At 44.1% G+C, this 25,251-nt stretch overlaps 3 annotated features.

Annotated features, from left to right (window-relative positions):
• Positions 5,166-5,265: an enhancer, noted in NCBI's record as "active region_3706". NCBI's record gives its function as "activates an Ori minimal core promoter by ATAC-STARR-seq in GM12878 lymphoblastoid cells {active_cell/tissue: GM12878}" and the evidence as "EXISTENCE:reporter gene assay evidence [ECO:0000049][PMID:35858748]".
• Positions 7,868-7,917: a silencer, noted in NCBI's record as "silent region_2579". NCBI's record gives its function as "represses an Ori minimal core promoter by ATAC-STARR-seq in GM12878 lymphoblastoid cells {active_cell/tissue: GM12878}" and the evidence as "EXISTENCE:reporter gene assay evidence [ECO:0000049][PMID:35858748]".
• Positions 9,766-10,267: an enhancer, noted in NCBI's record as "H3K4me1 hESC enhancer chr10:88965395-88965896 (GRCh37/hg19 assembly coordinates)". NCBI's record gives its function as "activates a minimal SCP1, AML or CMV promoter by ChIP-STARR-seq in naive H9 embryonic stem cells {active_cell/tissue: H9 hESC(naive)}" and the evidence as "EXISTENCE:reporter gene assay evidence [ECO:0000049][PMID:30033119]".

The following is a 25,251-nucleotide window of genomic DNA, read 5'->3' on the forward strand; positions in this document are numbered from 1 at the left end:
TAGCTGGGACTACAGGCATATGCCTCCATACCTGGATACTTTTTGTATTTTTTGTAGAGACATGTTTTTGCCATGTTGCCCAGGCTGGTCTAAACTCCTGGCCTCAAGTGATCCCCTTTGCCTCAGCCTCCCAAAGTGCTGCGATTACAGGTGTAGACTACCACGTCTGGCCAACATTCTCATTGATAGTCTTTGCACACATCTTTCATTCCTTCTGGGAATTTATTCTAAGAAAATAGAATTTTGGGGTCAAAGTACTTGTACGTATGTATCTGTACCAGGAAAAAAGCAGAAATTCCAGTATCAACAGATAACGAGAGCCAAGCAAGGTGGTACATGCCTGTAGTCCCAGCTACTCAGGAGGCTGAGGCGGGAGGATTGTGTGGCATGAGCCCAGGAGTTAGAGGCTACAGTGAGCTATGATTGCACCACTGTACTCCAGCCTGGGCAATACAGCAAGACCCTGTCTCTGAAAAAACAAAACAAAACAGATAACCATTGTTACTATTTTGTTGAACATTTTCCAGATACCCTGATAGAAGACAGATCTGTGCATGCACATACACAATTTTACATAAATGGGACCATTCCATATAGGCCAGTATCTAGTGAGTACTTTTTTTACTCCACAATTTGCCATATATGTCTTTCCAAATCAATCAACATAGATTAAATCATATCAACTACACAGGATTCCATCATCTGTGTGTGCTCTTGAATCCTACTTTTAAAATGTTCTCAGAAAGGTTATCCTGAAATATATTCCTATCAGAAGTTTTCCACACTCTCTCTAAACTGAATGGCATAAGTAAAAGACTAGTTGTTAGGTTTAAAAAAGGTTATCTGTTTTAATTGGAATTTTTTTTTTGAGGTTTTCTTTTTCTTTTTTCTTTTTCTTTTCTTTTTGAGACACAGTTTCACTCTGTCACCCAGGCTGGAGTGCAGTGGTGCGATCTTGGCTCACTGCAACATCTGCCTCCTGGGTTCAAGCGATTCTCCAGCCTCAGCCTCCTGAGTAGCTGGGATTACAGGTGCGCACCACCATGCCCAGCTAGTTTTTGTATTTTTGGTAGAGACAGGATTTTGCCATGTTGGCCAGGCTAGTCTTGAACTTCTGGCCTCAAGTGATCTGCCTGCCTCAGCCTCCCAAAGTATTGAGGCTACAGGTGTGAACCACTGCGCCCAGCCTTAATTGAATTATTTTTTTGCTAAAGTGATTGTACATTTGTTTCATATGCTTATCAGTCATTTGCAGTTTGCTTTTTCATATTTTACCTTAGACCATTTTTATTTGGGAGAAGCCTTTTATTAAATTAGTATGTTCTCCTTATAAAGTTAGTAATTTTTAACATGTGTTGCAGACATTTTTCCCAAGCTTGTTATATATGTTTTGACATGCAGAAATCATAAATATTTACGTGGATCAACCCATCAATCTTTTTCTTTATTGTTTCTAGATTTTATGACATGCCTAGATAGCTTCTTTTCTACTATAAGATTATACACATTTTCTTCAAAAAATTTTTTGAAACATTTATGATTGTTATATTTGTATTTAAATCTTTAATTATCTAAAATTTAGTGCATGGTATGAATGGATCTAACTGATTCATTTTCCTAAAATGGTCAGCTGGTTGTCCCAACACTATTGATTTCTTTCTTTCCCATCAGTGACGTAGATGTGATCTTTATTATAATATGAAATTATTATTCCTGCTAGCATTACCTGTGGACTTTCTAGTCTGTTTCATTGTTCTATATTTATTGCTGAGCCAGAACCATACAGTTAGAATTATTATAACTTTACATCTGATAGGAAAAGTACCCCATATTTTTCTTCATTAAAATTGTTTTTCTCAGACATCTTTGCCCATCTGTTCTTTTTTATTCCCCATTACGAGTATATGTTGCAGTGTTTTTTAGTATATTCAGAGTGTGTGACCATCAGCACACTCAATTTTGGAACATTTCATCACCCCCAAAACAATCATCCATAGTTACATTAACTATACCACCCCACAGCTCTTCCTTAAGAGGAGCTAACAGTCGCTCCTCCATAACCACCCTCTTTCCCCCAACCCTAGGTAACCACTCTTCTACTTAGTGGCTGTATAGATTTCACTATTCTGACATTTCACATGAATGGAATCATACAATATGTGGTCCTTTGTAACTGATTTCTTTCACTCGGTATAGTGTTTTCAAGGTTCACACATGTAGCATGTATCACTACTTCATTGTTTTTATTGCCAAATAATATTCCATTGTATGGATATACCACATTTTATGTATCTATTCATCAGTTGGTGGACAACTGAGTTTTTCCCACTTTTTGGCTATTTTTAATTATACTATCATGAACATTTGTGTGCAAGTCTTTGTGTGGATGTATATTTTCATTTCTCTTGGGTATGTACCCAGGAGTGGAATTGCTGGGTTGTATGGTTTAACCATTTGAGGAACTGCCAAACTTTTCTAATGCAGGTGCACTATTTTACATTCCCATGAGAATGCATTGGAGTTCTGATTTCTCCACATCCTCACCAGCACTTTTTATTATTATCTGACTTTTTGATTATAGCCATCCTAGTGGGCATGCCATCTGTTCTTGAGATAAGTTTAGAATCATTTTTATCCCATTGATATTTTTAATGAGATTGCTTTGAATTTATGGATCATTTGGACATGTTTTCAGTGGTTAAGGCTTACTATTTAAGAAGAGCATGCTTTTTCAATTAATAAAGTATTCTTTAATGTTCCTTAGCTTTAGCTTTATTTAGCAGTCCACATTTAAAGGGTATTAACTATGGAAATTTTTTTTTTTTTGATACAGGGTCTCACTCTGTTGCCCAGGCTGGAGTGCAGTGGTATGATCTCAGCTCACTGCAACCTCTGCCTCTCAGGCTCAAGCTATCCTCCCACCTCAGCCTCTTTGGTAACTGGGGCTACAGGCATGTGCCACCACACCTGGATAATTTTTGTATTTTTTGTAGAGATGGAGTTTTGCCATGTTGCCCAGGCTGGTCTGGAACTCCTGGGCTCAAGCAATCCACCTGCCTCAGCCTCCCAAAGTGCTTGGATTACAGGTATGAGCCATCAACCAGTTTTTTTGTTTTTTTAAATCATTGATTTCAACTATGCTCTGTTGAATCCCTTTTCCATCCCCTCATGTCTCACATGCCTCACATAACTTCCCAGGCATTGTGTTTTAGAAAGTCTGGTATTGTTTAAATTCCAGCCTCATTTTGCTCTTCTCCAGAGCATGTCCAGCTAGTCACTAAAGGGACTTGGAATGGGGAGGAGATAGGTGCACTCTTCCTTTCCTTTGACTCCAGCTGTTGGAGCTGGAGGGAGGGCGTGAACTGTCACCGAGGTGAATTCTCCCCATTCCTTCCCAGCTTCCTGAGGCCTAGCTCCTCCAGTGAGCTGGGGAGGGAGAAAAGAAGGAAAGGGGACAGTGGTACTTACCAGGCAGCTACCACTGTGGTCCTCTCCTTTGATGGACTCTGCTTTTCTAGCCAGTACTTAACTGCTGATGCCTTCTGTGCAGCAGGCGTTGAGTACTCCTCTTTCTGGGGTCCATGTGAGAGTTCTTTCAGAGCTCACTCTTCTATGTACTCTATGTACTCACTCTATCATATGTACACAGTTGTTTTCATGGGAGATGCAGCTCTGTCTGGTCTTTCCTGCCCCCTCCACTCTCTCCAACTGTACCTCCTTTCTCCATCTTGCAATCTCTCTCTGATTCACTTCACTCGTGCTCAGACAGGCATGGAGAGCAGGTCAGCAAATTCTTCACACTATCAGACTTTAGACAAGCTAAGGAATTGTCCTTCTCTGCATACTGTATATAGCACAGTTTGATTTATGTAACATCCTAATCATACTGTCTGGAAGAATCTTACCAAAATGATATCATTATTCCCCTACATGGGGAATTAGGGCTTGATTTTACCTTCTTTATTATAATTATTTTTACTTGATCAAATTACTAGGAAATATTCCCTCACTTCTAAAGAATACAATTTCCCTGTGTTAGAAAGATCAGTCCCGGTGTGGTGGCTCACTCCCATAATCCCTGTACCTTGGGAGCCTGAGACGGGAGGATTGCTTGAGGCCAGGAATTGGAGACCAGCCTGGACAACATAGCAAGATCTTGTCTCTATAAAACACTAAAAAAAAAAAAAATTAGCCAGGCATGGTGACACACTACTCAGGAGGCTGAGGCAGGAAGATCACTTGAGCCCGGAAGTTTGAGGCTGCAGTGAGCTATGATCTGCCACTACACTCCAGCCTGGATGACAAAGCGAGACCCTGTCTCTAAAAAATAAAAACAACAACAAACATACATAAATAAAGAGATCACATCCAAATAATAGAAAAAGATGATATGGTTTTGGTCCCCAAAACTGACATCACGTAGGAGATATTGGAACTTTGTGGGTGGGAGCCAAGCCCATGCTGGTGCCCCTTCTCTAGGTCACGTCTATACTGCTTGTTTGGATTCCTTGGCAAAAACTGACTATGCAAAGACAGTAGGATGCCTGACTCAAATTGGGTCAATCAGATCCTTTTTCTTGGAATTTAAAAAAAAATTGCATGAAAACGTATAGTTAAATGCACAGGTCTTAAGTGTACAATTTAGAGTTTTGACAAATATATACATTCATGTAACTGAACCCCAAACAAGATATGGAGCATTTCCATCACCCTAGAATTTTCGTTCATCTCCACTTCCAGTCAGTCTCCATCCATGATGGCCAACCACCATTCTGATTTCTATCACTATACACTAGTTTGATCTGTGTTTGGACTTCATGTAAATGAAATCATACAGTATATATTCCTTTGTAACTGGCTTTTTTTAACCTAAGAATGTTTTTCAGGCTTATCCATATTTTTATGTGAATCAGCAGTTTATTCATTTTTATTGTTCAGTAATATATCAATGTGTGAATATATTATCCATTCGTCTGTTGAAGTCATTTGAGTTCTTTCCAGTTTCGAACTATTATGAATAAAGCTGCTAAAAACATTTTTAAAACAAGTCTTGTTGTGGACGTAAGTTTTTGTTGGGGCAGGGATTTAAATAGCTCGGACTGAGATTGTCAGTTTATTGGATAAGTATATATTTAACTTGAGAAGAATCTGCCAAACAGTGCTCCAAAGTTGTGCAATTTTACACTCTCCGCAGCCAAAACGGAGGCTTCCAGTTGTTGTACATCCTTGCCAATATTTGAGATGTCAGTCATTTTCACTGTAGCCATTCTAGAGGCGGTAAAGTGGAACCTCCTGGTTTTGGTTTCTCTTTCACTGATGACTAATGACGCACAACTTTTCATGTGCTCATTGGCCATTTGTATACCTTCATTTGTGAAGTGTCTCTCAAGTCATCTGCACATTTATCTTATTGGGTTGTTTGTCTTTTTACTGATCAGACATATGTATTCTAGATAAAAGTCAGATATATGTATTATTGATATTTCAAAGCATTTTGTTCAGCAGTAGAAATGCTGGCTATATGATTTGAGAATAAAAATACGTATGTAATTGTAACAGGAAGTCTTAAATAAATTAAAATGTCACTATTTTGAATAACTAGAATATATATTAAGAAAAATAATCCCAGGAAATAAAAAATATGCTAGTAATAATTACACATAACAGATTTACAAAATTATATTACCATATAACAGTAATACATAATTCTAAATAAAAATAATCATGCTCACAGATAAAACCAAAAACTTTAAGAGCTTAATTTATTGAAAGCAAATGATTTAAATATCATGAGGGAAATAAAAGGAGACAAGAATTAGTGGAACACTCTACTGTGCTCCTGCTGTTTGGGAAGATGTACTATACAGAGTTAATTCAACAATAAACAAAGTCCCTGAGGGATGGCCTATACGAGTTGACAAGTTGATTTAAAAATTAATTGAGGGAATTAAACAGAAATGTAAATATTCCAATAACCATCGAATTATACATTTTAAATGGATGAATCATATATGTGAATTATATCTCAATAAAACGATTATAAAAAAAGAATAAACAGGGAATTTTTTTCTTTTTGAGACAGAGTTTTGCTCTTGTTGCCCAGGCTGGAGTGCAATGGCATGATCTTGGCTCACCGCAACCTCCACCTCTCAGGTTCAAGCAATTCTTCTGCCTCAGCCTCCCGAGTAGCTGGGATTACAGGCATGCGCCTCCATGCCTGGCTAATTTTGTATTTTTAATAGAGATGGGGTTTCTCCATGTTGGCCAGACTGGTCTCAGACTCTCAGGCTTAGGTGAACCTCCCGCCTCGCTCTCCCAAAGTGCTGGGATTACAGGCGTGAGCCACTGCGCCTGGCCTAACAACAGGGAAATATTTTTCAAGTTAAAGCAAAAAAACAAGGTAAGCCAAGTAAAACTATATAAAAATATATGATTTTGGTGTTTACAGTGCATTGGGTAAAAAATCTTACTCAGAAACAGTATGTAAAATATTTCGTTTTTAGAAAACCATACATTAAATCAATGGAGAGTGGCCAAAAAATTTTAACACTGTTTATCTCAAGGAGCTACAACTATGGTAAATATTTTCCTTAATAATGAAATGTGGAAACATTCCTGAGAACAGAAATAAGACGAAGATGTCCATTATCATCACTTGTATTCAATACTTTCCTGGTATTCCTAACAAGAGTAATAAGGCAAAAAAGTTGAAATAAAAATACTAAGATTGGACCTAAGATACAAAACTATGTATGTATTATTAACAACTCAAAAGAATCCAGAGACAAGTTATTAGAATTAGTGAGTTTAGCATGACTGAATAAATGGTCAAAATAGGAAAACCAACTTTATTTCTGTACACCAGCAAGAGTTAGAAAATAAAACATTTTAAAACAATACCATTTATGGTAGCATAAAAATTCAAATGTCTGGGGAAAAATTTAATGAAAAGATGTCCATGACACTTTATTATTTAGAGAAATGAGAGAAGAGGTAAATAAACAGAAGTACATACCATGTGAACTGATTAGATGACCCAGTATTTTAAAGATGTCAATTCTCCCCTGAATTGACTTATAAACTCAGTGCAACCCCAGGCGCAGTGCCTCACGCCTGTAATCCCAGCACTTTGGGAGGCTGAGGCGGGCAGATCACGAGGTCAGGAGATCGAGACCATCCTGGTTAACACGGTGAAACCCCCGTCTCTACTAAAAAAAAAAAAAATACAAAAAATAAGCCGGGCGTGATGGCGGGCGCCTGTAGTCCCAGCTACTCGGGAGGCTGAGGCAGGAGAATGGCGTGAACCCGGGAGGCGGAGCTTGCAGTGAGCCAAGATCAGGCCACTGCACTCCAGCCTGGGCGACAGAGCAAGACTCCGTCTCAAAAAAAAAAAGAAAAGGAAAAAGAAGAAAATCTCAATGCAATCCCAACCAAAATCACAACAGGCTTCATATATATGTGTGTGTGTGTGTGTGTGTGTGTGTGTGTGTGTGTGAGAGAGAGAGAGAGAGAGAGAGAGAAGTTGCATGGTTAGGTGGTAAAAGCAGTGTTTGCCATAAAAATCAGGTCGTTGGTTATTTTGGTTATTTTGGTGGGGAGGGAGAGGTAGTGTTTGGAAGGGGACACGCTGGAAGGTTTTGGGACGCATGGTATACCCGTTGTCAATGTATGGCCTCGCACCTCCAAATCCATCCTTTAATACCTGCTCTGCGGTCACAGCCAGAATCCCCTTCCGCGGCTCCCCTCGCGGCGGGGAGGATGCTGAACAGTAGAGGGCGCTGGAGACACGCTGCGGGAGGCTGGCGCTCGGGTCCGGCTGCGGGCCACAGGCCGCGGATCGCGTTCTGCCAGCGCCCCACGCCCGCAAGCGCGGCCCCTCCGCCACCTCGCGGCCCGGCCTGACCTGTTAATCACGTCCCCACGGCTCTTCTAGCGGGGACACCGCCGTCTGCAGGCTCCGTCCCCACCGTGCCCAGACCCCGGGAAGTTTGTCAGTCAGCACCCTGATGCCAGCCGATTCTCAAAAAGCCAGGAGGATCCAAGCAGATCATTTGCCAGACGGTACTGCAGCAATGGAGATGAACAGATAATTCACACAGAAAGAAGGATGGTAGGGAGAGACGTGCGGGGGGTAGGGAGGGCGGAAGGAAGGTCTAGGGGAAGGAGCGGAGGGGGAAGGGAGGAAGGAAGGCAGGAATGGAATGAAAGGAGAAGGGAGGAAGGACTCGTTGAATGCACAGCCTCCCCGGTGCTGCAGCGGCAGGAGCGGCTCTCACAGGCATGGGGCCCCCAGCAGACCCTACCAGGCTGCGGGAATGTTGCGGCCCTGCAGGGCGTCTCTGTCTTTTTTGAGGTGTCTCTGGTAATATGTGATAATGATAGTATTTTTAGACATTTGGAATGTGATTTAAATTCTAGCTCCACCACCTTCTAGCTGTGGGACCCTGAGAAACAGCACATCCTCCCAGATCCTCCCTTCTCTCTTGTCCACACGTGGGGAAGGCTCCTGGCGGGGTGGGGATTGGGGGTGGTGGGAGGGGGGAAGGTGGGGGGCTTTGCAGATTTACCAAGCTGATGTACAAAGACCTACTACAGCTGTAAGGGCTAGCTCCTTTCTCCCACTCTGGCAGTCACTCCACTTTGAGAAACATACCTCTTGAAATAAAGCTACAAGTGGAGAGGGGCAGGTGATTTGGGCAAATAATTCCATACTAAATATTAGGACAAAACATCCTAGGCAAATATCACAATCCGGAGTCATAGTGGCATACTAAATTCAACCAAGAAATATACCCATGATGTTGAAAGAGCCAGGCTTATGGAATGTAAACAGCAAACTATTTTATTCTTGTTTTCTATTTACCAATTCAAACTTGCTCTGCAGGTCACTCCTCCCTGCCCCTGGGATAAAATCTAGGGCATGTTCTGTGACTTTCTGGATCACAAAATTCACATGATTTTTGGATCATTCTCAGTTAACCAAAAATTTGTCCTGTAACTTCTAGCTATAAAAATAGGCTCTGTTCAGCATTTAAAATGTCCAATCCCATGTAGGAGTCTAAACTTTCGATTTCATTTTAAGTTTAAGCTTCCTCTTGATTCCTCCCCCAAGCCTGGCCCAGGCTTGCATTTGGCTTCAGGCATTGGGCGGGTAGCAGTGTTTCCTCTCCATTTTTCACTTTCACTCTTCCCTCCCCAACTAGCTTGCAGGGATTTCTGATCACCTAGTAGAGTCTAGAGGCGTAAGGGAAGGAGGTCACCAAGGGGCAGGCCAGGCTTTATGTGAATAGTGCTGTTGTGAGCCAAGTACTTGAGTACTTCGAGGTCCCCTTCTACTGCAGACATCTTCCCTATGGTTCCTGTGACCCAGGTTTGTCTCAGAGTGGGGTTAGCACACGGTACCATCTCCATCCCCTTTAAAAGTATTTATTACATTTTTCTGGAAATGGAAGTCTGGAAATTATATTTCCCTGATAGTCTTATGAGCAGGATTCCAGGTTGATTCTGCCAAATGTGAGGCACTCAGGTGAGACTAGAAAGCAGAAAGATGGTTTAAAAAATCATCGTTTTCTTCCTTTGACTCTGCACTTACGACAGCAGGATGCTCGAGACTCTTGCAGTAATTTGGGCAAAGATTTCCACAGTGCAAAATAGAAAAAACAACTGGCAAATAGCTGTACAAATTACAGTCCATTTTCATCATGGAATGTCAGTTTGGCAACAATGGCATCGAGGCCCCAAAGCAGCTCTGCAGTAGGGGGGTTCCTCCTTGGTGACTGGATGGGCACAGCCAAGCACAGGCTCCTGAAGATCCCAGCTCCAGGAAACATCAGCATGGTTCATTGCATTGTCCACCTGAATTCTTCACCCCTCCCTGTGGCTGTGTCCATTGCCCTGTAGTGTTGCAGTTCCCCTCAGGAAAAAGATATCATTTACTTCTCTGACCCTTGATTTGGAGCTTGGCTATGTGACGTGCTTTGGCCAATGGGATATTGGATGACACAACATAAGGAGAGACACAGATATGCATATGCACAATGCAGCTTGCCTTTTTATGCTTCTCCCTTCACCACGAAAAGAGCTTTCCCTGGGGGTAGCAGCTGTCCCTGCAGCCTGTGTTCAGAATGCACAAATGTGAGGAGCCAAGCCCAGCCAGCTTGAAAGTGAGTTGCCAGGCCCGGCGCAGTGGCTCACACCTGTAATCCCAGCACTTTGGGGGGCCGAGACAGGCAGATCACCTGAGGTCCGGAGTTCGAGACGAGCCTGACCAACATGGAGAAACCCAGTCTCTACTAAAAAATACAAAATTAGGCCTGGCGCAGTGGCTCACGCCTGTAATCTCAGCACTTTGGGAGGCCGAGGCAGGCGGATTACCTGAGGTCGGGAGTTCGAGACCAGCCTGGCCAACATGGAGAAACCCCGTTTCTACTAAAAATACAAAAGTAGCCGGGCGTGGTGGCACATGCCTGTAATCCCAGCTACTTGGGAGGCTAAGGCAGGAGAATCGCTTGAACCCGGGAGGCAGAGGTTGCGGTGAGCCGAGATCACGCCATTGCACTCCAGCCTGGGCAACAAGAGCAAAACTCCGTTGAAAGAAAGAAAGGAAAGAAAGGAAGGAAGGCAGACAAAATTAGCCGGGCGTGGTAGCGCATGCCTGTAATCCCAGCTACTCAGGAGACTGAGGCAGGAGAATCACTTGAACCTGGGAGGTGGAGGTTGCAGTGAGCTGAGATGGTGCCATTGCACTCCAGCCTGGGCAACAAGAGTGAAACTTTAAAAAAAAAAAAAAAAAAAGTGAGTTGCCTACCCTAGCTCAGACCACCTCCAGCCAACCCACAGATGTGTTAGAAATGAGTGCTTATTTAAGTATGGCATTGACATGTTGTGATTAGTTGTTATGCACCATTATAGCAAAAAAATTGCACACTGATAAAAGTAACTGTTCCCTCGTTGGCTTCACCAGCTTTCCCAAGAATTGTTTAATCCCATTCCGTGTATAAAATCACTCTCTGCTGAGAATCCTTTTTCTGAGAAAAGAATTCTGAGATTTTTTTTTCTGCTTGAGGCAGACCAACACTCATTCCAAGAACAACTGGAAAGGCTGAATAAAACACAGAAAACTTTTTTAAAAAGTTTTTTGAAAGCTTCCCAGTTAACAAACATTTGAAGGGCCATAATCTCAAAAGAAGAAAAACACAAGGAGGCAAGCTGGCCCTCTGTGAACTACTTTTCCTTTCAGGAAACGTGCTGATTTTAGCTAAGAGGCCGAGCATTTGGGCAGACGGCCATAGCTAAGAGGCAGCAAAGTCAGCAGAGTCTTCAGCTGGAGAGACAAGAAATGGAGACTGAGGTTGTCAAGGCAGCTGGAACTGAAGGGGCCGAGATATCATGTAGAAGGGAGACACAGAAAAGGAACACTTTCCCCTTGAGGCATCTGCTGAATTAAGCTATGCAGAAAGGCTATGAAAGGCAGCAGGTTTTGGCAGTGTCATATTAATGAGATAAAAGTTGGAGTTCAGGACCCACCAAGGAAAAGAAGCCTAATAATCACATCAGACGCTCAGCTGGAATCCTTGGAGGACCACACTCTAGATAGATGGGCAAACCAGAGATGGAGATGAAGCCTTCCAAAAACTGCAACATAGACTCTAGTCAGTTCAGTACCATTGGATTAAGGTAAAATCTTCCCACTCTGTCTATCAGATGACATGGTAAACCCTCCCTTGAGACAGACATTGTTTTCAGATAATGTTTCCTGGAGCCACTAAAATTTATTATAATGGTTAGCATTCAACAATAAGTGATCAAACACACCACAAAACAGGAAGGAGGGGAAAACAGACACAACAAAACGGAGCCACTAATGACCCAGATATTGGTGTTATCAGACACAGACTTGATGGGTGGAATAGAGACTTTCATCAAAGAACTGGAATCTATAAGAAAGAATGAAATGGAAATTTAAAACTTAAAAATACAATAACTGAAATTAAGTACTTAGCATATGGGTTAACTACAATTAGATTTAGCAGAAGGAACATTCTTTGAACTGTAATACAGGACAGAATAAAAACTCTAAGCTGAAAAACAGAGACAAAGAGTATGGAAAATACAGCAAAGAACATAAGATACTTGTGGGAAGTGGTGAACAGGCCTAATACATACGTAACTGGAGTCTTAGAAGAAGGGAGGAAGATGGGGCAGAAGGAACAGTTAAATAAATATAGGCTGAGAACTTTCCAAAACTGATAAAGCTTTATGATCCCCAAGCAGGATAAATAAAAACAAAACTGCATCCAGGCACACTATACTTTTTTATTATTATTATTTTTTGAGACGGAGTTTTTCTTTGTCACCCAGGCTGGAGTACGGTAGTGTGCGATCTCAGCTCACTGCAACCTCCGCCTCCCCAAGGTCCAGCGATTCTCCTGCCTCAGTCTCCTGAATAGCTGGGATTACAGGCACGCACCACCATGCCTGGCTAATTTTTGGATTTTTTAGTGGAGATGGGGTTTCACATGTTGGCCAGGTTGGTCCCGAATTCCTGACCTCAGGTGATCCACTGGCCTTGGCCTCCCAAAGTGCTGGGATTATAGGCGTGAGCCACCGCACCCGGCCCAGGCACACTATACTTAAACTGCTGCAAATGAAAGACAAGGAAAAAACATTAAAAGCAGCTAGAGGCAGGTAGGAGGGACACATTTCTTCTTTTCTTTTTTCTTTCCCCTCCCTCCCTCTCTCCTCCTTCCTGCCTCCCTCCTGTCGTTTTCTTTTGTAGAGTGGGGGATCTTGCTCTGTTGCCTGGGCTGGTTTTGAACTCCTGGGCTCAAGGGTGCTGGGATGACAGGCATGAGCCAGCGCACGTTACTGACACATTACTCTCAAAGGAGAAACAATAGCACTGAAAATCACTTGTCAACAGAAATGATGGAAGTGAGAAGATAATGGAGTGCCATTCTGAAGTTCCTCAAAGAAAAAAGTGTCAACCTGTAATCCTATATTCACAAAATATACTTAAAAATGAATTTGAAATAGATGTTTCTATTCAAAAACTGAGAAAGGCTGGGTGAGGTGGCCTGTAATCCCAGTCCTTTGGGAGGTCAAAGCAGGCAGATTGTTTGAGTTCTGGAGTTTGAGACCAGCCTGAGCAACATGGTGAAATCCCTTCTCTACAAAAAATACAAAAGAATTAGCCAGGTATGGTGGTGCCTGCCTGTAGTCCCGCTACTCGGGAGGCTGAGGTGGGAGGACTGCTTGAACCTAGGAGGTTGAGGCTACAGTGAACCATGATCATGCCACTGCACTCCAGCCTGGGCGACAGAGTGAGACCCTGTCTCAAAAACAAGCAAACAAAAAAACACAAAAAAACCTGAGAAAATTTGCTGTCAGCAGATGTGCATACACAAAAAATACTAAAGGGAATTCTTCAGGTAGAAGAAAACTGATCTATGATAGAATCACAGAAATGCAGGAAATAATAAAAAAAAACAGAGTGAATATGTGGGTGAATACAAATGAATATTGACTGCACATAGCAATAATAATAATGTCTCATTAGGTGTAAAATATATGTGAAATTAAAATGAGTAATAATAATATACATGCAAGAGTAGAATGGAGGTAAATAGAGATTGAGTATTGTGAGATCATAGCATTGTCTGGGAAACAATAAAAAGTAAAATTTGTATTAGATTATAATAATGTACAGAAGTTGTAATCTGTGGAGGAAACCACTGAAGAAATTATAAAAGAATGTGTAAGTAGAACCAATGGTAGGGGGGGAAACGGAATTAAAAAAATAATCAGAAAGAAAGCAACAGAAAAGAAAAAAATAAAAACAAAAATGGGTAAGACAAATGGAAACAAATAGTAAGATGGTATTTATGAACACAACTATATCAGTAATTACAATAAATGTAAATTCACGAAATACACAAAAGACAAAAATTGACAGACTTGATTAAAACAACTCTATTCAAGAGACATGACATCATTATAAGAACACTGAAAATTCAAAAATAAGGGGGAAAGTGAAAAAAATACCACTGTGAGTGGTAGAGAAAGCCATTTCACATAATAAAGGGTTCACTCTACCAGAAAACGTCAATTTTAAATGGGTATGAACCTAATAACACAATCTCTAAATGCATAAAACAAAAATTAACAAAACTCAAAGGAGAAATAAACAAATTCATAATAATAGTGGCGGGCTTTAGCCTCTCTCAGTAATTTATAGAAAAACAGACAAAAATATCAGTAAAGATGTAGATAATTTGACCAACCTGATTAACAAACTTGACCCAGTTGAAATACACATAACACCTGCACACAACTGCAGAATGCACATTCTTTCAAGTGCAAGAACATTATGATAAGAATATTATAGGAAAGTCTGTCATAAACATAGCTTATATAAAAATGTAACAGCAAATTAATCTAAATTTTATTTATTTATTTACTTATTTTATTTTTTTGTTTATACTTATGTCATAGTTTATATAAAAATATAACAGCAAATTAATCTAAATTTTATTTATTTATTTATTTACTTATTTTATTTTTGGAGACAGAGTCTCGCTTTGTTATCCAGGCTGTAGTGCAGTGGCGTGAACATGACTCACTTCAGCCTTAACCTCCTGGGCTCACGCAATACTCCTGCCCCAGCCCTCCAAGTAGCTGGGACAACAGGCATGTGACACCATACCTGGCTAATTTTTGTGGTTTTTGTAGAGACCGAGTTTCACCACGTTGGTCTCAAATTCCTGAGCTTAGACAATCTACCTGCCTTGGCCTTCCAAAGTGCTGGGATAATAGATGTGAGCCACTGAGCTTGACTTAAATCTAAATTTTATTTTATTTTATTTTATGGCCATGCTCCCTCTAATAAATCTAAATTTTAAATAAATAAGTCCAAGTATTATTGTGTTTATGTGTATAAACCTGTGCACACACACAAACGCGTACACACCCTGCTGGTTTCTATTACAAGAATGTTAAGTTTGGTTTGACATTCAACAGTCAATTAGTATAAGTCATCACATCCAAAGAATAAAGGAGAAAAATAAAATTATTTCAAAAGGTGCAGAATAAGTATTTGAGAGAAATTTAACCTCATTTGTAATTAAAAAAAATCTTTTTAACAGCTTGAGAATATATGTTAATGAGTACATTAAAAATCCTATAACAACCATCAAACTTCATGGTGAATATTGACAACTCTCCACATGCCACACCCACCACCCCTGAGATTGAGGATGAGACAAGAATACCCACTATCACTACTTATAGTCAGCATTCTGCTGGAGGTCCTAGCCACTGCAATTTGTATACCAATTTTATATCTTGCAACCTTGCTGAACTTATTAGCTCTAGTAGTTTTTTTGTGTGTGGATTCCTTAGGATTTTCCATAGACAAGATTATGTCATGTGCAGATATAGTTTTACTTCTTTCTTTATGATCTGGATCACTTTTATTTCTTTATCTTGTCCAATTGCTCAGCCCCTGCAGTTTGGCAAGAGCTAAATAAGGCATAAAGATTAAGAAAGGAAGAAATAAAACTGTCATTCACAGAGGACATGATTATACAAAAATAATCTGCAAATTATTATAATTTAAATGAATGTCACAAGGCCACTCACTGGATAACAAGGTCAACATAGTTTTGTAGCAACAGAATCTGTATATACTAGCCATAAACAAATATAAAACGTCTAAGAATAAATCTATTGAAGGATGTGCAAGAACACTTTACTGAAAACCACAAAAATAGTTCTGAGAAACATACAAAAGACTTAAAGTGAAGAGATATACCATGTTAATGAATAGGAAAATTGAATATTTTAATGATGTCAAATGGCCCCCAAATTGTTCTACATAATCAATTAAATCCAATAAAATTCTAGCACTTTATTTTGTGGAAATTGACTAGCTGATTCTAAAGTGTTTTATGGAAATGTAAAGGGCTTCTTTCTTCTGGAGTTGCCTTGTGGACAGGATTTGAGACAACCCAGGCCAGGTCTCTCTGGTCCATGGAAAGCATGTGTATGCTTTTTGCCCTGACTATGTCTGTAGAGAACAACCAAAACAACAACCTCCTCCCCATCAGAGAGCCAGCTAGTCTCTTGCCATTTAGATTTTTCAGGGATGAGTCAGAGATACCAGTCTACTCTGTCCTGCAGAAAAGGATACTTATCAACTTTTCCACGTGGCCCTAGAAAAGTCACTGCTAGTCAGAAATCTCACTTTGGAATGTGGGGGTGGCTGGCATCTATCCGGATGTCAGATGAAACAGGAACAGTTCCACTGTAGTAGCCTGCTCTATAAACACACAGAGAACCCCTATTACATGTGAACTATGAAGCTATTAGAAACTACAGCTTTGTGGACTACTTTGAAAATGTGCAAGTGGGCCGGGCGTGGTGGCTCACGCCTGTAATCCCAGCACTTTGGGAGGCCGAGGCGGGTAGATCATGAGGTCAGGAGATCGAGACCATCCTGGCTAACACAGTGAAACCCCGTCTCTACTTGAAAATACAAAAAATTAGCAGGGCGTGGTGGCAGGCGCCTGTAGTCCCAGCGACTCCGGAGGCTGAGGCAGGACAATGGCGTAAGTAAACCCGGGAGGTGGAGCTTGCAGTAAGCCTAGATCGCGCCACCGCACTCCAGCCTGGGCGACAGAGCGAGACTCCGTCTCAAAAAACAAACAAACAAACAAACAAAAGAAAATGTGCAAGTGAAATAAGTGACAAAAAGCAAACACAAGATATTCTGTCCATACGAAACACTGCGAGGCGACACTTGTATTTGTAGATTGACAGAAATTGCAGGTGGAGTTAAAGAGGTACAAACTCAGTATAACATTCATTGCCTCTTTTGCTAAAGTTGTTTCACTGCATAAGAAAAAGATACTGGTCGGGCCGGGTGCGGTTACTCATGCCTGTAATCCCAGCACTTTGGGAGGCTGAGGCAGGTGGATCACCTGAGGCCAGGAATTTGAGACCAGCCTAGCCAACATGGTAAAATTCCGTCTCTATTAAAAATAAAAAAAATTAGCCAGGCATGGTGGCGGGTGCCAGTAATCCCAGCTACTTGGGAGGCTGAGGCAGGAGAATCGCTTGAACCTGGGAGGTGGAGGGTGCAGTGAGCCGAGATCACGCCATTGCACTCCAGCCTGGGTGACAAGAGGGAAACTCTGTCTCAAAAAAAAAAAAAAAAAAAAAAAAAGAAAAAGAAGGAAAAAAGAGAAAGAGATAGTGGTTCCATGTGCTGTTCTAGTTACGCAAAACAACGTGTTGACGTGCAGGCTGCACGATGCCAGGTGCAAATACACACTACCTGTTACAGTAACTGTGACAAGCACAAGGGCTGCTCACTAGCTTGAGTGCAACTTCTGGGGAGTTGATGGCAGTGATCTGTGGGTACTTCCTTCTTAACAAATTTTACATCAATACTGCAACACAGCAATCTCAGCCCTGTGGGCTATACCATAGCCACATGCTTTCACCATTTCCTGCTCAAAGGGAGAGCCCAGGAACTGAATGCTCTTAATCAGGGAGAGCACAGAAACAGCAGCAGAACAGCTGGAGAACCAGGGCTGTGTGGTTTTGGACTGTGGGGAGGGTGGGCCATGGGCAGACTTGACACAATGTGGGAGGGCATTTGACACAGCCCCGTGGAGGACCTAATGCTCAGGGAGGCCTTCACCCAGCACAGTGAGCCATGCCGACACTTGGTGCCTGAGTGTGCTGGTCACAGCGCCCTCCCTGTGATTTTCCCCATAGCAGTGTGTTTTCTCTGCCAGGCAGAAGGCAGAGAAACCCTGGCTGAAAAAGCAGTGAGGGTCATCGACTGCATGAACACATCATCAGCTTTCCCAGATGGAGGCACCCAAGTTTACCCTGCAGGTCCATTCAGCAGGTAGAGCTGGGTCATCACTAAACAGGATCTTTCTTCTGAGCACCTGAGATTCTGGTCCAAATCAGGGCTGTGAGGACCAGGGGCTGGGATTCCGAGCCCAGGCAGCCCTGCAGGCAAGGAGGAGGGAGTGTGTCGGAAGGCTGTATGGCCAGAGCCGCTGACCGGGCCAGGACTTCTTTGTCCCCTCTTCTCTCCTGCATATCAGCACTCACGTCCTCCTGGCTCGGGCTGGCCTGGCAGCTCGGGGAGCTGTTGGATGAAACGTCCATGCGTGTGGCTGTGGCTGTCACGTGCAACTGCGAGGATGGTCGGCTCCCAAAGCGGAACCGCGGTGCTGGGCGAAGGGTCAGGGCTCCGTGGTGCGGCAGAGCGCATGCCAGCGCTTCACCAGCTCCTTGGGCTTGCTGAGCATCTCGTCCCAGTGCTCCAGCTCTCTGCCACGGGTGTACATGTAGGGGCCCACCACCACTCAGCCCAGCTGCTGGCTCTCTGCAGGGGAGGGAGAGCACCAGTGTGCTCCTGAGCACAGAAGCCCCGTCCCCAGTGACCTCCTTTCCTCCCTCCTCCTCCCCAGGAGGAAGTAGCAACTCCCCTCCTCTCTGAGTGGGAGCTGACGGCCCCCAAAGGGGCCCTGCCTTTGCTCTGCAGCTGGAAGGGCTGCTTCTCCCCCTGGGAGATTGGGAGGAAGGAGAGCCCTGAAAGACTCTCTCCTTGAGGGCCACCAGCTCTGACCCACACCCTTCTGTGGGGCCGTATTAAGTCTACCTTATGCCAAAGAGCTGAGGGAGGAAAGGGCCCCTCTAGAAAGAAGGCCTCGGCCATCCGAGAGTACATTCAGCAGTAACGTTCACTGGCCACTGTGGAGAAGGGTCTTAAGTCCAGGCCATGTGGCCAGCCACGGCCTGATGGCTCTGTTTCCCCAGAGTGGCAGTGGGTGCTGGGGTGTGGGGCAGTGTGGGAGAGCTGGCTGACAGAACTCGCCCAGAACCCCAAAGGCTCATCTAGAGGGCACGAGGAAGGTCAGAGCACCAGGTCCCTGGGCTGGTGGCAGCCCTGGTCCCTCCCACTCTCTCGGGTGATTTGCTCCAGAAGAGGGCAGCAGAGGCGATTGCTTAACCTCTTTCTTTTTCTTTTCTTTTTTTTTTTTTGACAGAGTCTCGCTCTGTGGACAGGCTGGAGTGCAGTTGCACGATCTTGGCTCACTGCAACCTCTGCCTCCCGGGTTCAAGCGATTCTCCTGCTTCAGCATCCCGAGTAGTTGGGACTACAGGCGTGCACCACCATGCCTAGCTAACTTTTGTATTTTTAGTACAGACGGAATTTTACTATGTTGGCCAGGATGGTCTTGATCTCTTGACCTCGCGATCCACCCCTCTCGGTCTCCCAAAGTGCTAGGATTATAGGCGTGAGCCACTGCACCCAGCCAACCTCTTTTTTTTTTTTGAGACGAAGTCTCGCTCTGTCGCCCAGGCTGGAATGCAGTGGTGCATCTCGGCTCACTGCAAGCTCTGCCTCCCAGGCTTATGCCATTCTCCTGCCTCAGCCTCCCAAGTAGCTGGGACTACAGGCGCCAGCCACCACACCCAGCTAATTTTTTGTATTTTTAGTAGAGACGTGGTTTCACCGTGTTAGCCAGGATGGTCTCGATCTCCTGACCTCGTGATCTGCCTACCTCGGCCTCCCAAAGTGCTGGGATTACAGGTGTGAGCCACCGTGCCCGGCCCTTTTTTTTTTTTTTTGACGGATTCAGCAGCCTCGCCTCCTGGGTTCAAGAGATCCTCCCGCCTCAACCTCCCAAGTAGCTGGGATTACAGGGGTGTGCCACCACGCCCAGCTAATTATTGTATTTTTAGTAGAGATGGGCGTTTCACCATGTTGGCCAGGCTGGTCTTGAACTCCTGAGCTCAAGTGATCCACCCACCTTGGCCTCCCAAGGTGCTGGGATTATAGATGTGAGCCAGCATGCCTGGCTGCTTAACCTGTTTCTAGGGTGCCACAGACAGAGCTCAACTGGACTAAAGCTGGGCATGAAACCCAGGCCTTGGGCAAGTATTTCAGCCTTTCTGAGCACTAGTTTCCTTAACCAGGGAGGGAGCTCGTACAGCTCCTTCTGAGGTCAGGACAGGAGGCACTCACTCTGCCTGAACACTCGGCAGCCCCTCGTGGTCCCCATCCCAGCAGCCCAGGGTAGGGTGTGGCCTTACTGTCCCCTTCCATGTTCTGCACCGCGGTCAGGCTGAGGCTAGCGGTATCCAGCTTGGTGGCATCGGCCTTGAAGCTGAAGGTCTCATTGTACACAGGGTTGATGGAGCCCAGCACAGCTGAAGTCTTCTTGCACTTGACAAACTTGTTGTGGTTCATCAGAGACACTTTGACAAACACACCTAGGGAACAGTGAGCACTAGTGGGCTGGCAGAGGCAGGCGGGAGCAGAGCCCCTGCCTGTGGGAGGTCCGGCTAGGAGGGCACGTGCCCAAGCTAGGTGCCAGGGCCCCACCCCTCACACAGTGCTGCGGCCCCGCGGGCGTGACCAGAGGAAGCCGGCTGAGGAGTGCACTGCCCTGCGGCCCAGGCGGGGCTCCGCTCCCTTCCTTTTCCTTCCTCTTTGCATCAGGAAAGTACCCATGGCTCCTGCAGGCCCTGGTTTACCAGAGCCTGGCACCACAAGCCTGTCCCTCCCTGTTGGGGGGCTGCTCACTGGGCCCCCAGGCCCCCTGGGGCCCCTTAAACACCTTGTACAGAGGGCTAAGATTTGGTGGGTGAGGGTCAGAGTCACAGTGGAAGGTCTGGATCCTGCCTGGCTTACGGTGACCCCAGACGTGAACACAAACAGGTGGCTGACCACCACCACCTCACTGGGATGGGTGGGATGTGTGGGGTGAGCCCAAATGGGGTGGGACATGTGGGGTGAACCAAGCCCTCCCCCTCTGCAGCTCCTGTATTCTGGGTTCTCAGAAACATCAGAGCCACATTTTCTCAGGGGGCTTCCCTGTCTCTCCAGAACCCAGCTCCCAGCACCCCTCAGGACAGAGCCTGCCCAGCTCTGCCCATGTCACTTCACTGACCCCCGCCCCTGCCAGGCTTCTCCCACACCTGCAGGGCCAGCACCCAACATGCTGAGAGAATGGGGACCCAGAACCAGATGAACACATCAGGGGAAACCGAATCCATTCTCTCTTGGGGTCCTGAGCCTCCCAGTGACAGAAGATCCAGGAGATGCGAGTGGGAGGTCGCCCTAACAGGATCTAACATCATGCTCCAGATTGCTGAAGGGACACAGATCGGTGCCTCCTCTCCTTGACTCTACCCTCCTCACTCCTTAGCACCAGGCCTGGCTGTACATCCCTGCCAAGGTGCAACTAAGACCTTCACCTGCAGCTCAGGGGTGCCCCAGACAGGAGCACAAGAGGAGGCTCATCCCCACCCACAACCCAGGCCGGAGCGAATCTGGCTGCTCAGGCTCTGTGTCTGGCTTCTGCCCCAGGACCTGAGCCCATGTAAACTCAGGCTTCCTTGGCCTGCCCTCCCCAGGCCCAGGTTCTAAAGGTGTGCTCCCCACCACTTCCTTGTTGCTCCTCCACTTTGTCCCTAGAATTACAGCCCAGCTCTAGGTGGGACTGTGAAGCTCTGCCCAATGCTTTCCACGAGTAATCAGATTCAGGCCCTTGTGCCTGAAGACTCCTTGTGAAGACTAGATGACACCTTCTCCAAGAGCAGCTAAGGAATCACCTTGGCTCCTCAGGCTGAGTATACATGTTCTGTATGGAACTTCAGAAAGAAATGGTCAACATTCATTCCTCACTTTACCAGAGAAAGAAGAAAATGTCACGTGCCTTTGATTCCCTCTTTTTACCAAGACTCCACTGAGATAAAACTCCTAACACAGAAACCAACACATATTCTCAACACTGGGTACCTGCTGGAGGTCCTGCCTTAGCCCCGAAGCCTCAGGTTTCCATGGGGACAGGTTGGTTGAGAACTGGTGGCCTAGCTCTCAGCCTGACACCCAATAGTATCCCCACCCAGGAGGCAGATGGTAGTGCAGGCACAGGTTCTGCAGGCTTTCATCTCATGGAACGTATGTTAGAGGGTGTCCTCGTCACTCGCCATGCCCCAGAGGAATCAGCAGGGACATCAGGACTGAGAGAAGACATGGCACATCTGACCTCCTGTCCTGGAAACCCCACATCTTTCTGACTGTGCCAATCACACGGACAATATCTAGAAAAGTTCTGCTCTGCACAGTGTTCTGTCTACCAGGCCCACCCATCTGAGGACCCAGATGCTAGGAACACACAGATACTGAAGGAGCAACCACCTGCCTAAGGTGCAGGTACCCCTGCATCCATCTGTGGGAGGAAGAGCAAGAAACTACCATTTATATGGATTCTTTGGCCCTAAGAATGAACCACCTATTTAGGAGTAACACAGTGATGCAGAATGACCAGGGAGGGTCATTCTCAACCATGCTCCCTGGTCATTCTGCATCACTACAATACACATAGAATCCCCAGAATACACACCTATTAAAGCCTCAATATTCTTGCTTCATACAAACATTTGCTTACAGATCCTGAACACACACACCGCCCCCCACCCCAGTGGTGTGTTGCTAACTGCTTAATAAAATGCTCTCCAGGGGGAAATAGGAAAGCCTAGAATTGTGATGCTTAAGTGGTGTAAATATCTCAGCATGACTAATTTTAAACTACCAACCTAACGCCACTGAACACAGAGATGAGAAGAGATGTGCCATGCCCAGTGGCTACCCCAAGCCAGTACAAGCCAGCTCCAGCACAGCCACATCCTTTCATAGGAATATGTGTACACAATCTACCTGCACCCTGAGTAGGACCCACAACTCTCACCCCAAATATAAAAACAAAACCAAACGATGTACCTCCAGAACACAACCTCCTCATATATCCTGAACAGACACACACAACTGAGATAGGATAGGGTGGCCATAGCCTCCATTAAAGGAGAACAACCTTGCTAAACAGATGAAGAGAACAAACCATCCGACAGTGCACAAGGAGGTCCTGCAGTAAGGAGGTGGAAAAGAAGAAGGGGAAATCCCCAAATTCGCACAAGTGTGAAAACCCATGATTAGTGTCCCTGGGTTGACCAGTGCTCATTATAACAGTGAAAAACACACCCTTGGGTAGAGATTTAAGATGTTAATGATTCACCTGATATAGGCACTAGCATGTGCAGCATTTAGCGCATGCACGTCCAGAGAACAGTCCAGAGAGTGCTTAACAGTGACACCCCTTCCCACCCCTTCATGAATAGTCATGTAAGGCTCCCATAAAGGAGGTTTCCCCAGTGTCAGTCAATGCTGTCTCACCTTTGAGCAGCCCACTCTGATCGGCTGTCAGAGTGTACATTCACTTTGCAGTAACCTCTCTTGCTTACTTTTACGTTGGACTCACTCTCAAAGTAAGACTTCTTTTGTGCAGCAAAGTCAAGAACCTGAACCAGCCCACCAGCAACACAACTGCTACCTGTACCCTAAATACACAGATGGCCTGCACCAATTATTACTTAAATTTGCAGACAAAACTCTACCTGCCCCAAATGCTCACCTCACTGCTAAAACCATATATGTACATATATACGTGCCCAAATACAAACACGTACAATGAACACAGTACCCATATATACCCATATATAGTGTGAACCCTGAAAGGGCTGATCATGAGTGGCTAACTGGGCCTAAACTCAAAATGGAGCCAAGCAGCCATTTGCTGACTGCAAGTCTCACACATTTACCCTGTTTCCTGCAAAAACCACGTACTTGTGTTACTTTGGGACTTTCACAGCTGTCTGTTCCTGTTTATGTCACCTGAATCAAGGGGTACCATTTCATCATATGGACTTAAGAAATAGACTGTGACTTGCATCAGCCAATCAGAAATAAACAAGCTTGTATCCCTCATTTGCAGAGTGAACCAGATCGGGAATCTGAGAACGAATTTCTCTGTAAAAGATAATACCTCTCTTTGTTCTTTCAGAGTGTATCTTTGTTTTGCACTGAAGGCTGGGACTCCTTGATTTGCAAACAGCTCAGTGGAATCAAATTTCTATTTTTTTCTTTTGTTATTTTTTAAAGAAAATCCTTTTCAGTAGATTTGTTAACAGTACATAATGAAAATCCTATAGGCATAGGCTCAAAAAAAAAAATCACAAGGTATACAACACTTGTGTCATGCATCACCCAGAAAAAGAATCACATACAATCCCACAGCTCTAAAATACAGGAATCCATGATTCTTGAATCCAAACACAACCTACACAGCCTCTCTGTTTCCAAATACATGCACTGAACCTCCCACATCTCCCAGAATACAAAACACAGAAGCCACATAAACTCAAATACACACAGAACCACAAACTATTTTTATCAAATACATATAAGTCCACCTCACGAACTCTGAGAACACACATACAAGTGGCAACACCAAATTCTGCGAGTATTACATTTCACAACAGACACAGAGGACCACTAAGTCTTAATATACCCAAAACCCCTCATATACACACTCACAAACTACCCATGAATACACACCTCACCCTCCCAGATAAAACCCATACAATACAAAAAAAAAAAAAAAAACCCACAAAAACACCAATAATACTCTAATATACGCACACAACTTTCATATACCCATGGGCACATACAAACTCACACAAATATCCCCAATCCCTGAGTGTATAAATCCCCCGAAACACTATCCAATCAATATGCTACATCTCCAGAATACAACCTCCTCACCTCATCCCCTAAACATGCCCAAACACATGTACGAACATCCTAGCATTCTCCAAAGAAATACACTTTAAATACTAACAATCCCGTATTCTATAAACAGACTTAGATAATTCATCTATCTGCTGATAAATATACACACAAACCAGTATACACACCCAAGATGCACAGAAATATCTCCAGCATATCATTTATAAATACCCATAAAAACAGTTCCCAATCCCAAATTATCCCAATCTAGTATGAACCAGCTCCCACATTGCCAAGTACTAACCAATAACCATATCACATACCTCTAATACATATAAATTCAACTCTCCCACTCTCCTGTATAAAAAGAGAACCTCATCTCTCTATCAGACACACACATACTAAATTCCCAGAATATATAACCCTAATAACCACTTACTGAAAAACACAAGCACATAGCTCCACAAAACCTTCATCTAAACTGCCACGCCCTTGAACACACCCACAGACTCAATACTCATGTATTTGTCTACATGCCCTAAATATACCCGCGATTAACTAACACGCCACAAATATGCAAACATGCCACCTCA

The sequence above is a fragment of the Homo sapiens genome, chromosome 10, assembly GCF_000001405.40.
Source record: "Homo sapiens chromosome 10, GRCh38.p14 Primary Assembly".
In the NCBI taxonomy this organism is placed as follows: Eukaryota; Metazoa; Chordata; class Mammalia; order Primates; family Hominidae; genus Homo; species Homo sapiens.